The sequence below is a fragment of the Homo sapiens genome, chromosome 10 (assembly GCF_000001405.40).
Source record: "Homo sapiens chromosome 10, GRCh38.p14 Primary Assembly".
Lineage (NCBI taxonomy): Eukaryota > Metazoa > Chordata > Mammalia > Primates > Hominidae > Homo > Homo sapiens.
This window is the reverse complement of record NC_000010.11, coordinates 49,389,271-49,404,666: the sequence shown is the minus strand read 5'-3', so window position 1 is coordinate 49,404,666 and position 15,396 is coordinate 49,389,271. Positions and strand designations below refer to the sequence as shown.

Genomic DNA, 15,396 nt, shown 5'->3' with positions numbered 1-15,396 from the left:
GCCCAAGCTGCCGGGGCTGAGGGGCTGCCTTGGACAGCTGAGGTCCTCTCCAGGGCTGCATCCAGGGGACCTACTCCCTGTTGCTGGAGGTCTCGATTTGGCAAGCTTTGCTACAGTGTCTGTACGAGGCCCTCCCAACACCCCAACCTCCCCAGGTCCCCAGGTACATCTGCTGAATGTTACCTGACCACCGAAACGGGGCTGCACAGCTGTCTGAATAATGGATAAGGAGGCTGATGGATGGGTGGGCAAAGGTGCATGCCTCCCTGTGTGTTACCTTGCCTCTCGCCAGGCTGGCCTGTGGGGGCTGCAGGCTGATTGGGGATGGGGCTGAAAAGTGGGAATTGCCTGGGCCAGCCTTGCCTAGACAGCAGACAATTTCATGGAATAAATATTTCTATTGCGATCTAAATGTGCTCTGAGAGTCTGCTGTTGAGTGAGACTGAGGCCACGGGGAGGAGAGGGAGGCAGTGCCCCACCCCTGGGAAATGTGCTGAGGAGTCCTGTTATGGCCTGGCTATGCCATGCAAGGTCATGGCCAACAGAGTCACCAAGAGCAGAGCAGTGAGGTGTTGGGGAGGGCAGAGGGCAGTCCTGGAGAGGTGGGACCGATGTGGATGGGAGTGGGCTGGTCAGGTGGGGAGACGGAGGGCCCTGCTGATCCAGGATTGCAAGAGCATGACAGTGAAGTCACAGCTGAGAAGTATTCACTGTGTGTGTCTTTGCGTGTGTGAGAGAGTGGGAGGGGGAGAGAGAGAGGAGAGAGAGAAAGAAGGGAGGGAGAGAAAGAGAAAGGGAGGGAAAGAAGGAGAGAGAGAAAGAGGAGAGAGAGAAAGAAGGGAGGGAGAGAAAGAGAAAGGGAGGGAAAGAAGGAGAGAGAGAAAGAGGAGAGAGAGAAAGAAGGGAGGGGGAGAAAGAGAAAGGGAGGGAAAGAAGGAGAGAGAGAAAGAAGGAGAGAGAGAAAGAGAGAGAGAGAGAAAGAAGGAAAGAAAGGAGAGACAGAAGGGGAGAGAAAAAAGGGGAGAGCGAGAAAGAGAGACAGAAAGAAGGAGAGAAAGAAGAGAATGAGAGAGAAGGAGAGAGAGAAAGAAGGGAGAGAGAGGGAGAGGGAGAGAAGGAGAGAAAGAGCAAGAGAGACAGGGAGAGAAAAAAGAGGAAGAGAGAGAGGGCTGGAAAGAGAAAGAATGAAGTGGTGAAAGGAAGAAAGAGAAACGGGGAGAGGGAAAGAGAGAAAGAAGAGAGAGTGCTGGGGGCAGCGAGAATAACCTACTGATGCCTGGATCAAGTACTGACAGGCAGACCTTGTCAATAGGGAGGTTTAAGAGGCCAGACTTGACCCCAAGTTCTCCTGGTTGAAAACCCAAACGCCTCCTGCTGCAGCTATGTACATAATCCAAGTCTTAGAAATGGAAAAGATTCATTGTGTTTGCTAATTATTCATGTAGCAAACTTACTTCATTCCTTCCGTGGTAATTTCCATTAAATTCCACACATTTATCGAGCACTTAATATGGGCAATTGAACGTGCGTTTTGTTTGAGGGGAGCCATGTCCTATTTAGGGGGCAGCAGCCGGGGGTGTCGGGCTGGGGATCAGGAGGACTGGCCGCCAACCCTGCCTCTGCTGTTCCCAGTCCCCTCTCCATGTACCACAGCTCCATTCAAGTCATATGAATGCACCCAAAGAGCTTTGCACCCAAGAGCTGACCTTGAAAGCTATTTTTTTTTTCTAGAGGTTTATTGGTGAAATAATTTAGACTTGGAGACTGAGATCTTTCTTCTATTTCTGGCCGGTCCCAATTTGAGATTTCCTTAGATTGATTTAGTTTTCTTATTAGCAATTCATTATTGCATGTTAATAGTAGCTAGACTTACCAACTAAATACTTATAAAAGTATTTTGCTCCAAGTCAGTGACTCCAGTGAATCAATTAGAGCAGTCTTGGATGCTGGGATCTAAGAAATCGAAACTGTGGGTGTACCTGGAGGAGGTCTCCCAGACCAATGTGGGTCTCCTAGCCCCTCAAGATTGTCCCATTAGGAGGCTGACGGCTGATGCTTAGCCCTGTCAAGACCCCTTGACAAGACTCTGGCGAGAACTCTGGGGACAGAGGAGATACTGTGTCTTTGGTCTCTTCTCCACTGGAAGCTGCAGGAGAGCACATAAGGACAGGAGCTCCTCCCCAGCTAGAGGTGAGCTATGTTCTCAGAGCTGCCCATCCAGAAGTTCCTCTAGGGCGGTGGAGACAAGGTACAGTGGATCCAGTACCTTTGGGTGTGGTTTCCACGTGGTGCGAGTTTCCCTTACCTCTGCATCCCCATCTCCTTCCCTAGCCAGAATCCCTAGGGGCTGGTTCCCCAGGGCTGTGAGCTCAGAACTGCATCCCCTGGCATGGCACAGAGAAGGTGCTAGATACCTGAGAGAAGGGGAGAGAAAGAAGGAGAGACAGAGAAAGAAAGAAGGAGAGAAAGGAGAGAGAGAGAGAATGAGAGAGAAAGGAGAGAGAGAAAGAAAGAAGGGAGAAGGAGAGAAGAGTTGAAATGGACTGAACGAGACCCTGAAATGCTAGAAGCCGAAGACTTGGCCTTCCTCAACACACCCCTTTCTTATCCTAACACTTGACAAAAAGTCATTATCAGTCTGAAAATAATGATAAACTCACATAGAATTTATGTCAAGGGTAGGAAAGACAGATAACTGCAGGAGCCGGGGGGTTACACAACCTGGAGAGAGGAAAGTAGTAGGGAATAGTGAGGTCTGTGACCAAGTAGTTGACATGCCCAATCTAAAGGCAATGGATTTAAATTTCTAAAACATTTCTATCAACTGGATAAGATGCCTTTGATTGAGCTCAAAGGACCTTGGTTTAGGTTTTCTAGCAAAATAGGTGTTTTGAGTACAGTTCAACAAACCAGGCAATTAAGTATGAAGAACAAAAAACGGTAAGGAAGCAAGTGTGGCAGACAGGCAAGTGGGAGCTCTCCCAAGGGTGGTGTGGCTTTGGCCTGGTGAGGAACAGGGCTCATTTAGGAGACCACCAGAAGATTCAGGTGCCATCTGTAAGTTCCCAAAATGGCTCACAGGATCATCTCTCCAGGAACGTGGCCCTAGCAGCAAGACAATAATAATGATAATGATAATGCCACAGTTGCAGCTGATGTTCACAGGGCAGTTGCTATGTGCTGGGCATTGTGTTCAGCACCCTCTTTAAAATTTTTTAACTTTTAAAATAGACTTTATTTTGTAGAGGAGTTTTCTATGCACTGCAGAATTGAGCAGGAAGTGCAGCGAGTTCCCATATATCCACCCCCCAGCCTCCCCAACTGTTAACATTAGCACCAGAGTGGCACGTTTGTTACAGTAGGTATACCTGCATTGACATGTCATCAGAGGCCACCATTTACATTAGGGTTCATCTTGGTGTTGTACATTCTATGAGTTTAGACAAACGTCAAATGACGTATATCTACTGTTAAAATAGTTTTAACTGTCCTAAAAGTCTTTTAGCACTGTCTTTTTTTTTTTTTTTTTGAGACGGAGTCTCACTCTGTCGACAGGCTGGAGTGCAGTGGTGCAATCTCAGCTCACTGCAACCTCTGCCTCCTGGGTTCAAGTGATTCTCCTGCCTCAGCCTCCCGAGTAGCTGGGACTAGAGGCATGTGCCACCATGCCCAGCTAATTTTTGTGTTTTTATTAGAGACAGGGTTTCACCATGTTGGCCAGGATGGTCTCGATCTCTTGACCTTGTGATCTGCCCGCCTCGGCCTCCCTAAGTGTTGGGATTACAGCCGTGAGCCACCGCACACGGCTGGCACTGTCTTTTAATCCTCCCTCCAGCACTTGATGTGGCATTGTTGTCCCATGTCACACAATGAGAGAGGGATGTCCTGAGAGAGTAAGTGACCTGCTCAAGCTCACTGGTCTCCTGAGGACCGAAGCCTGCTTGAATGGAGGCAGGGGCACAGACTCTGCAGGTGGTGGGCCTTCCTCCTGGGCTGTGCTCTCTTTCCTTGTGAGAGTTAGGAGGCCATGGGCAACCCTCCAAGCTCTGCAGCAAACACAGGGCCAAAGGTTGAAGCTGAGCTCTGAGATCCCTGGGAACCACATGGGAATATACTTTGTCCTGTGGTCACTGGACAAGAACAGGTGAAGTTATTGGAAGTTGGCTTGCATTTGAGCAGCTACTATGTTTTATATGGCAGTAAAACTAGTGAATTATAGGGAATTTCCAGGATGATAAAATGCATATCTATCCCTTGTTGTGTATATATATTTTCTGTTCCTAAGTCCCCGGGAAATCTGGAATTTCCATTAACTGCTATGTCCTTCACATATTCTCTCATGTTTAGCTTAGCTAAGCTAACTTTTTTGGCAATTTCCAAAACTACAATATAACGATAGATTTGCCGACAAGTAGAGAATACGCCATATTCACACTGAGATATATCCACCGGGGATTATGCTAGAGAGCCTTTAAAACATTTGTAAAAATATCAAACCTGGGCCCTTCCAAAACATATAATTAGGAATTCAGTGTGGTTTTTTCCTCCCTGATAATTTAAGTATTTTACCTGCTTTACCCTCTTGCTATGGGTTTAAGCCATGTGTACTGAAGTCATTTCTGCTAAGGAAAGTTTTAAAAGGGAGGTTGTGAAAATCCTTTCTGAGCACAATTAAGATGTCAAATCCAACACATATTTTTGTATTTGGGCTCAAAAGATGAGGACAGAGGTGTCTCCAAATATTTTCCCAATTTTCCTAAAACAAGGCAAACAGTAAGAAATGAATACTATGTATGGTATTTAAGACCCAACTCGGAGCCTTCAAACCCCTACATTTTCTAAGGATTTGGAATTCTTTTCAGGAATCAATTTAAAATGATTCATAATTCAACTGAAAACAATTGAGGGCTTAGATAGATGCTCGCATTTCCAGCTTTTTATTGCTGCTCTTAGTGTTTCTGAGATGACAGTTTTCCTTTCATAGAACCAGCTTAAAATTAGAAAAATCAAACACCCATTAGAGAAAGCAGATTTACTCTGCTATTAATTGATATAGAGATGTAAAACTTCCATCACCTGGGCAGAAGCCTAGCGCATCCCTGCAGACAGTTGCAGTGGCTAGAACCTGGGGGGTCAGCAGCCCACTCACTGGGCCTGAGCTGGAGCTGTCAGCCTTTGGGAGCCAAGCCTCGAATTTTCAGCACTAAGACATGCGGCTCTGGGGGAGCTGCATCTGTAACAACATCTGCACGCCAGTCTTCAGGCGTGTTACTGTCTTCCCATTTTATTTTTAAAAACATGAACAACTTTGAAAGTTGAACTCCCCACCCTGAGCTGGCTTCTCTCTTCCCTATGGGACAGGAGGCAAAGTAGCACACCCTATGTAGCAACCAGGAAATGATTCTCGGGAATGCAGATGCTGTGGCTGCGGGTATGAGATGCGGAGAGAAGGGGCACTGAGGACCCAGGATTGTCTCCCTACAGAGGCGGGAGGCAGGCTAGGTGAGGGCGGGGAGCGGGGGAGGGGGTGGGGAGGACTGTGAATCTGCTGAAATATGACCCCGCGGTTTTAACTTTAAATAAGCATTTCTGTCCTAGTGGAAGCCCCTCTAATGTCTCCTGCAGCTTTGATTTTGGAACACGTCACATTCCTCATTAAAGCAATCACTGTTAAAACATAAAGCAACACAGGATTTATTTCTTCATTAAACTGATGATCCGTATATGAAGCCAATTAACATTATGAGTCTGGTGAACATCAAGTGTAAAGAGGTTAGAGAAAATTAAAAGCAGTCACCTTGGTCTTTAGATAAAGAAAGTACACTTTTAGGTTGTAAATTATCAGAGTGTCCAAGCGAGACAGATCGGCGAATTTGGTTAATTGGAAAATACATTTTACCGCACAAAAATTAAGGAAAAATAACCTTTTCGTTACTAACGCCCTTTTTTAGGGGGAGGGGGACCGTAGCGAACACCTATTAGTCACCTTCTCCCGGGTGTCGAGACATTCGGAAAAAAAGGGGGCTGGCGTCATCAAAGTTTGGTGCAGCCTTTCGTTTCTAAGGTTGTTTGGTTGTTTGTTTACTCGCTGTTTTGCCAACGGGAAGGAGCCCAGCCTAGCGGCTCCGGGAGAGGAGCGCCGGGCGAGGCGAGGCCGAGGGTCCCAAGCCGGCTTAGAGCCCCCGCGAGGTGGGTGTGTTGAGGGAGCTCGGCTGGTTATCTAGTCAGTGAGGCGGCCGGACTCTCCTCGGGGGCCGCGAGATGGTTTCCGGCTGCAGCGGCCGGGTAGGAGCGGCGCGTGGTACTGCGGAGAAGGGAGTTTTGTCTCTGTTGCCAGCGCTGAGCGCATGTCCGGAGTAACTTTCGCAGGTTTGGACTGGGAGAGGATTGGGGTCGGTCCCCGGACGCCTGGGGTCCGGCCGGGCGGATCCCACCCCTGAGCAGCGAGGGGCCCCGGCTGGGCCCCCGGTACGGCTTCTTTCTCCGCAGCAGCCGGGGGTGGGTGGGGGTGCGGAAACCGGCGCCGCTGTCCAGGGTTCTGACCTGCCGGGTTGCTCGGCGAGCGCGCCGTCCTCAGACCGCGCAGGTCTGAGCCTGTCTCATCCGCGCCGGATGAGCCTGTCTCGTCCCGGGGTCATCTCTGGGCCTTAATAGGAACTTGCCTCGGTCGATGTCAGGGATGGGGAACTGAGACTGGCGTTTGGACCTCATTGGTTTCTGGGGCCAACACTGCACCCCGGGCTGGGCTGCTGCCGCTGAGGGTTCCCGCACACACCCCCAGGTGCGCCTGAGCATCTTGGCCGAGGCGGCCCAGAAGCTGTCCGCACCTCACTTCACGGCCACCGGGTTCCCAAAGCGCACAGGCAGGGAACTGCTGCCTAGGGCAGGAGGGAACCCGAGGGGACTTTCGGCAGACCTAGGCGGCAAGAGGAGCCTCGGGCTCTTGTCAAGAGCTCCAGAGAGCAGGGGCCCTCTGAGGGAGACAGGGAGAGAGACAGCGCGCGCGAGCCAGTCTCTTGACCTGGGCTAAGGGAGGATCAGCTCTAGGGGCTCCCAGCCCTCTTGGCATGACGTAGGAAAGGCCCTCGGCTGCCCTGCCGGCCCCTGCCTGCCACCTCACCCGCCTTCGGGACCTGCTAGCCGCTCCTCCCGGGCCGGCTGCCTGGACTCTCGGAGTCGGTGGCCCTGGCGGAAATGGCGCCCCGAGCTCTCTCCGCTCTGAAACGAGCGGAAGTTTCCTGTGATTCTTTCCCCGAGGCAGAGCAGACTCTGCTCTGGAGCGACTGAGCCCAGGAAGGGCCGCTTCACTGGAATAGATCCTGACTTGCCTCGACCGGAGCGGGACTGGTCTTCCTCCCGGCTGTTTTCGGAGGGGCGTCAACGGCGGCCGGGACCCAGCGCTCTGTCCTGCAGCTCGATGCTCCTTGCCCAGCGCTGGTGTCCAGCGGCGGGCCTGCCAGGCCTTTTGTTTCCAAAGCGCTGCGTCTTTAAGATCAAGGCTGTATCCCGGGCCGTGCAGGGACCCGACCCACCACCTCGCCAAGGCTCCCTAACGCAGCATTAGAATGTTTATAAAATATTCAATTTATGTAGTCTGTCCAAGAAGCCATCGTCCCAAAATAAAATCAGCAGTCTAGACGGAGCACAGACACCAGAACTTATCAACAGTTGTCTGACTTGCATCTTCTGATGCATCTTGAGTGGGTCATAATACCAACTTTATTTTCAGTGGTGCATAAATTAATTACACGCATTTAATAACCAAAATATCATTATATTCCCCCTTTAATATCATAAAGGCTTTCCGCCAGGGAAGCACTTAATAGTGCAGGGGGCCGTAACGGGCTATTATCCTGGTGTAATGCTATTACAGAACCAATTATGCGCCATTAGACTTGCTTTTTTTGCAGTTTATGTGATTTGATCCAATCCCGCGCCCCTGACTTGAAAATTTCAGCCCGGTACTTTAGAGTTTAATTTTCACCCAGGCAGAGAGAAGGGCGGTCTCTCTCCGTTGAGTGTCTGCCTCGGATGCATTTTAAAAGTAATTGCAAAGGGTCCCACCGCATATCATTTGCATCGAGAAGCGAACATAAATTCAGGGACCCCTTGCTGAGAACAAAATCAAACTTTCCTTTTGTACGATCGTTTGGAAAGGGAAGCCGTGTGCAAAGAGTCCCCCCAAAACCCATCCGGCGGCGACAATTAGCAGCGCTTTGCCAATTTGCAGCCCGGGAGTCACCAGGCCTTTGATAAGGGCAGCCCAAACCAGGCTCTCTCGGAGAAAGGTTTGCCTCTGAGGGGACATGAGGTGGGGGGTGGGGCCTAGTGTGTTTTCGGAAAATGTATGTTTTTGGGGGTGATGGTGGTGGTGGTTGTATCGTTCTCTTTTAAAAGAGGAAAAAGCATTCCTGATGTTTGCTGAGAAATGACGGATTTTTTTTTTAACACCACGTGGGCCATTTGTAAGGCCCAATAGACCTATCCAAGTTACTCGCTGTAGACAGCGCTGGAAATAATCAGATTAAGGCCAATTATGCGTGAGATTATAAAGGCGAGTGCTGAGCGGCGGCGCGCGCTGCAGACAGACAGCAAGACATCTGGCCACTTCCCGAGTCACTTCTTTGGTCCTGCGGGCGCCAGCCGCGCCGAGCCCCGCCCGCCGCCAGCCGAGCAGGGCTTGCGGATCGGAGGCGGTCACGCTCCGACCTCCTCGACCGCCGCCCGCCGAGGTATGCTCGGCTCCTGACCCACTCGCCGGGCCCCGAGCGCCGGGCCTTGGGGCTCGGCTGCCTTCCTGGCCTGAGCTGCAGCTCGCAGATGGCCTTGCGCGCTAGCCGGACCTGGCTGCGGTGGCCCGGGTGCAGGGCTTCTGGCTGGGACCCCAGAGAGCCAGAAACTACGCTGCGGGGTTTGGTGCTGGGGCCAGGGTGAGGGCACGGCCGTCCGGGAGGTGGACACACCCGAAGGACTGCCCTGTGGGGTTGCTGCTTGCGACGGGGCTGCCGCCTTCCCTCCTGTCCCCCGCAGTGAGATGAGGGCGTTGGGAGGGACTTTCCAGGAGGGGAGCGCCGGGTGCGCCCTAGGGCTGGGCGGGAGCGCTGGCAGAGGGAGACTTGAAGCTCTATCGCTGTTTGCTTTGCAGCCAGGCAGGAGCAACGCGCGCGGGTCCGTTCTGCTGCCACCCTCCCAGGTCTCGGCCGTCCAGCCGATCTGACAGCCGGCGATGTTTTATTTCCACTGCCCGCCACAGCTAGAGGGTAAGTAAGCGCTGCGCCCCAGGGTCTCCATGAAGCCAGAGCCGGCCAGAAAGGGCCGGAGCGGCAGCAGGGCTGGTGGGTGGCTGGGTCCCCGCCCTGCGGGGGGCGCAGCCGCCTGCCGGTGAGTAGGGGCCTCCCTGGACCCCTCCCTACACCCCACTCCAGGCCCGCTCCAGCTCCCCGCCCCGTCGCCACCTGCCTCCCAGCTCCCTCCCCGCCTGGGCCAGGACGCCCCGGGCTAGGCGTGCCGCGGGGACCGGCCGAATCCTCCCAGCACAGATGCTGGTGTCACGCCTCTAATTGGGGCTCCGCAACCCAGGGGGCCGCATCAATCTTTCACGGTGCTTCTGCAAACATCCCAGAAAGCAAAGGCGAGTGGACCCGCCGCGTCCTGGCCCAGATCACGAGCTGCACGAGCCTACAAGGGCCCGTCGCTGGGCTGCTCTCACTGGGGCCGCTGGCGAGAACACTGCAGGGGCCTCTTCCGCCCTGGATTCTGGGCAGCTCAATTCCCTTCCCGGCCTCCTGGCCGTCCCTGGAACCAGGTGGCCCTGCCCACCACCTGCCCGGACTGACCTAGCATGGCTCCTTCTCTGTGACTCACTAACCCTAAATGTCGACCACTCCCCACTCCCCAGGCCAGAATTTCCATCTTTGAGTGTCTCCAGGCCTGAGAAGAAATTTCCCCTCAGGATCCCCAGTCTGGCTTCTGCACCCAGTTGTTAGTGGGGGCGTGGGTTGGTGAGAAGGGGACAGTTGGGACCTCAGCATGCCCCTGCTCAGGACCCGAGGGATCCAAGGATGGGGTCTTCACATCAGGGGGCCAATTAGTAGCCATCAGGTGAGCCAATGCCACACTGTGGGCTTTAATGGGGCCTTCTGCAGAGCAGCAGTCTCAGCACTGGGGTATTGGGACTTTTGTAACCGTCGGACTGGCATTTGGCAACCTACTCGTTTGATTTATTATTGTGGTGGGAGAATTTGGGAAGCCAAGTAGTTGTGGGAGACAAGGGGCAGGGTATATGTTGTGAGGCGCTAGGAGACCTGAGACTTCAGGTGATGCTTGTCAGTCTTGCTGCAGGCTGCCCTGAGCAGTGGCTGAGCCTCAGAAAGTTTGTTTTTGTTTTTCTCATAAAAGCTCTTAAGAGTCCAATAGGATTTTCTAAAGGAGGCTAATGAGGACCAGTGTTTAAGCCCTGCTAGCTCTGTCAGCATTCCTAGGAAGGGAAGGCCACACATTTGCCTGCATTTCACATTTTATCCCCAAGTTCCCATGCAGGGTGGGTTTTATGGAAGGGTGGGAGACGTGCATCCCCTGACAGTGTACCCTAGGGGATGAGGGAGACTTTCTGTATGTTAAGGGTGCCTTCTCTGTGCATCTGAACCAGGGGTCTGGACTAATTGCCAGCCAGTGTCCCACCCTTCTGGTCAAAGTGGGTAAGGCAGAAGTTTGGGCATTTGGCAGGTAGGGGACGTCATGAATGTCTGTCTGCGGGGTGGACTGCAGCAGTGAGTTAGGGAGAGTCCTGGCCTGGCCTGCGGTGACCCCAGCTCTCAGCCCAGCTCAGCTGGCTTACTGTGCTCCCCACACCCTGGGCACATCCCACCTCAGTGCTGACTCTGTGATATAACCAGAAGAAAAGGAGATGGGTCTTTAAGAGCCTTTCATCCCTTTGTAGATGTGATTCTATGCCAGTTTTGCAGAAAGGAGTAATTTAGTTTAGTTTAGTGTTGCTGGGTGAAAGGGATCTCCCGCAAATGGAAAAGTTGAGAACAGACCCTTGGAATATGACATAATTATAGCCTATCATCTTTTTTATTTTAATTTTTTGTTAATCTAGATAGGCATAAGGGAGAAAAGAAAGAAAGGCTCATAATCTTACTTCTCAGATAATTTTGCTGATGTTACATTAAAAAGTACTACTGGCACCTGCCTGAGAAGTTTGAATACAACAGAAACTTATACATTGAAAAGCAAAATCCTCCTTTTCCACCTCTTTTCCTAAAAGTATCTGCTATTTTTTTTGTGATTCCTTCAAGAAAAACATGATTTAATTCTCATTTATGTATTTTTAAAATATGTGTTTTGCCTTATTTGCACTGAAATTATATTGCTACATCATTCTGTACTTTGCTTTTTTTACTTTGTAATATATCTTGGAGATTTGTTCATGCCAATGCATATAGATCTACTGATTTCTTTTAAACTGCTGTGTAGTATTCCATTGTATGTTGTGAAGAAAGCATCTGCTGATGGGCATTTTGGTTGTTTTCATTTTTTTTCAACTACAGTATTTCCAGAAGCACTTTTTTTTTCTATTTTGGCACACATTACAAATATATTTATAGATTAAATACCTGTATGTGTACTTACATTTTTGATGGATGTTGTCAAATTACCTTCTAATAAGGCTGTACCCAATTTGTACTCCTACAAATGGTGAATAAGCCTGCACATCTTATGATACTCATATCTGTACTGGGTGTCTTTATGCACCTCATTTTTTCTTCAAAATGTTGAAAATAATATTCCATTGTTCTGTTGTGTTTGGTTGAATTATCCTCAAGGTTTAGCATTTTCATAATATTATCGACTATTCTACTTATTTTTAAGTAAAAGAGCTATTCTCATTTTTTCCTCTTTTCTATTAGGTTGTCAATCTTTTATTAATTTGGTGAACTGTCAGCCCTTTTTTAGGATTCAGTTCGACATGCAGTGTTTTACTTAAAGATTCTGCATGTACACATTGTGAGCCACTTTGGGACCATGATGTATAAATTAGAAGACTGAGCGAAATTGTGATTGGAGATCCTCAGAGATTGTGTTCCATCCTCACCAGTCAAGTGCATTGTTTCAAAAAAAGACAATTTGTTTTCTTGCAAAGTAATGAAAATAAGACTGCTTTGAGGTCATTTCTTTTAAGTTTCCAATGAGCTGGAGAGAAATACCTGTAACTAAGGTTTTGAGGAACAATGCAATTTGGACAGGAAGATGGAAGGAGAACGCTTTAGCAGAGAGTCAGGGTGTTTGGCAAAGGATGTGGCCCTGGATGGTGAAAGAATAACTAAAAGGAACTTCCTCTAGTAGACAGAATTTTAAGAAGCCCAAAGGACTTTCAATCTTTGAGACTGAGGTCCTTCTGAGGGTCCTTGTCTGGGACAGTGTAGCTCCAGAACTCCTAATGCCGTGATTCTGAGAACAGAGCCCATGGCAGGTAAAGTATTCACTGGTTAATGGCAACTTGCTCATTTGTTTTCCTAAGAAGCCATTGTGGACTATCAAGTAAATAGAGCACATTTGGAAAATGATCTGAATGCACATTTGGGGCCAAACTCTGTTCTGCGTTTATAACGAGCTTGGAAGCCTGCTGGGGAGGACAATGTCTTTCTTTTGTGGGGAAGTAGAAGTGGTAGGTGCTTTATAAGGCTTGGCCAGAGGGTGGGGTGCCCTTTGAGAGTGGCCTTGTTCAAGTCTGCTTGGCATTCAGGACAGTCACTATTGGTGCAGATCTCTTGTTAATTGACATCTATATAACAGATCCACTATGGTGCTGATGAGCTGTGACCAACGGTAATTAATATTCATTTATAAACTTCTTACCTCCTCACGTTCTGCACTTATAAGAGAAAAGTGCCGTGAAAAGCTCTTGGTGTTTTCTTTCCTCCCCCAGCCTCTCCTAACCCCCAGATTTTAATTCTTGTTAATAGAAACAAGGGAAAGTAAACTACCATATGAGCCAAAGGGAGACACACAGGCTTCTATTAAAGGATCTGGAGTAGGGGTGAGATAAAGGCACATTGAACAGGGGTGGAGCTGGGAGCTGGAGAGCACGTGAAGGCTCTGCCTCAAGCCAGTGACCCTTCCTGGTTCAGAGTCTAGAATTTCACAAGAATTGAAATTGGCCATCTTGGGGATTAAGGTCACCACTCGCCCTATGTAATAGGGATACCTGGATTTAAAGTCAGAGGTTTTGGGGACAGAGTGGAAAAGAGGAGGATTTAATAGGAGGAACAGAAAAATATCCTTTGGGACAAACAGGGCTTCCTGTCTGGTGGGTCAGGTGGGTGCCCTCTGAACTGTGTCTGGGGGCGGTCTGAGGACTGGGGCCCCTTCCTGCCCAGGTTGATCAGTTTGCTCTTGGTAGGCACTGCAACCTTTGGCAATCACTCTTCGGGGGATTTTGATGACGGGTTTCTGCGTAGAAAACAGCGCCGGAACCGGACGACGTTCACTCTTCAGCAGGTACCAACGTTGATTCTCCTTTCAAACATCAGCTACTTCCTACCTCCCCCAAATCAAAGTTGAGCAACTCTTCTTTGTCTTTTAAAATAAGACCAATTGATTATGCTAACTGAATCTTTCTGTTTTCTTGAACAACTTATGTGCCATGGAATCAAAATTTAGGAGGCATGCAGATGACGCTAACCTTGTAATCCCAGATGAGTGAAGAGGCAACAACGTTCTCTCCCACTTGCCTTAGGTGGATAGTTTGGGGAACACTTCCATGTCAGCAATATCATTTGAACCTCACAGTGATCCTCTGAGGAAGGCAGGTCAGACATTCTCATTCTCAGTACAGAGATGAAAAACCGGATCCCTGGAAGTTGGCTGACTTGGATAAGGTATAGTTGCCCACAAGTGGAAGGGCTACAACTGGGACCTTGATACTGTGTTTCCCAGAGCTGGGCTTTTTCCCCTCGATCAGCCTCTGTCCTACTCTTGGAGTGAACTGGAGTGGCTGTGAAGGTGACCAAATATCCCTATGGCGTTTTGTGGGATGACACCATGAGGCTTCTGCAAGTTGTTTCTGTTCCCTGGCTTCCTATGGTGAAAGCGATAACAATTACTCTAACAGTTCATAAGGTGACTGTTAGTTTTTTTTTGATTCCTATGACAATACTTAAATGTAAATGCATATAAATATTCACACCTCTCTTATTTCTACTTCTTGCCAGAGCACTGAGGTTGCTAGTAAGCCGTAGCTCCTAAGTCATCCGCGGTTGAAATTCTCATTCTGTGGGATCTTTCCAAAGAGCTCTCTTCTCCCTGTCCTTCCTCGATTTAATCTGTGAAACTGCTTCCTCACCACTCACAGGAGATTTGAAATATGCATCTGCTTCCCCTCACCTAGCCACAGCCTCTCACCAGTACATATTTTTTCCTTTTACCAGCTGGAAGCTCTCGAGGCCGTTTTTGCCCAAACACACTATCCAGATGTCTTCACCAGAGAAGAGCTCGCCATGAAAATAAACCTCACAGAAGCCAGAGTGCAGGTAAACCTTCTTTTTAATTATTTAACTCTCTAATATTAAAACTGGCAAACTTTTTTTTGACATCATGACTGCAGAGTGCACATTTGGCCAAAGAAAGCAAATGAAGACTATCTGTCATTTTCATGATGCACTTTAATAACATCAACATAATGTGGAATATTAGATTAGGTTGATTAATCGGTCATTCATAATTAACTAGTGATAATGTTCTACACTAATTTGTCCGCGTCTCTAAGGTACTAAATTACATCAATGCACATCCATTTCCTTGCTTTGGAAAAAAAAAAAAAAAGAAAGAAAGAAAGAAAAGAGCTGAGATGCTATTCTAAAAGCAGCTCTGACCGCTCTGGGGTAAGGCTGGTCAATTGCAGAGAACCGCGTTTTCAGATGGGAAGCAGAGTAGGATCTGCTTTCCAGAAATTGCATCATGTCCAACTTTTCCCCTGCCCTCAGACTCTTTCAACAAAGTGGATCCAAAGAAGATGTGCAATTTAAAAATCTTTAAACAGCAGTAGTGATAGGGCTGCTTCAGAGATGAGTATGGCCCGCGGTGACCGTCTCTAAACAGGATTTCTGTTTAGAAGCTACACGGTGATTACATTTAGGCACACAAACCTGCCCGCCGAACCCAGCAGATGTGCCCAAGTGCGAGAGGAAGGGATTCACGGTGCCGCCTCTCTGGGCGAGCTATTCTTTGAGCACAATTATATATTCATTTTATTTATGGGGTTTCCTCCATGCTGTTTCTGTTCTTTTTTATGTAGGGGCTTGGGGTTAAGACTATGCAAAGATCTAATTGTAGGAAATATAATAGTTTGCTTTCGGTTCCCCTGGGTCATGTTAGTATCTCTTAAAAACCAAT

At 49.0% G+C, this 15,396-nt stretch overlaps 1 protein-coding gene across 2 annotated transcripts in view, besides 1 other annotated feature; it reads left to right on the top strand.

The window, feature by feature from the left end:
- Positions 6,404 to 6,563: a silencer, noted in NCBI's record as "silent region_2362". NCBI's record gives its function as "represses an Ori minimal core promoter by ATAC-STARR-seq in GM12878 lymphoblastoid cells {active_cell/tissue: GM12878}" and the evidence as "EXISTENCE:reporter gene assay evidence [ECO:0000049][PMID:35858748]".
- Positions 8,578 to 15,396, top strand: part of DRGX (dorsal root ganglia homeobox) — a 32,024-nt gene continuing 25,205 nt past the window's right edge. The window contains exons 1-4 of one of the 2 annotated variants that reach the window (NM_001276451.2): positions 8,578 to 8,732; positions 9,146 to 9,260; positions 13,406 to 13,503; positions 14,433 to 14,534. In NM_001276451.2, the coding sequence (NP_001263380.1) occupies positions 9,227 to 9,260; positions 13,406 to 13,503; positions 14,433 to 14,534 (234 nt within the window). In that variant the 5' untranslated portion in view covers positions 8,578 to 8,732; positions 9,146 to 9,226. Of the gene's footprint in view, positions 8,733 to 9,145; positions 9,261 to 13,405; positions 13,504 to 14,432; positions 14,535 to 15,396 lie in introns of those variants that run through there. The other variant, XM_011540089.4, reaches the window with a different exon arrangement.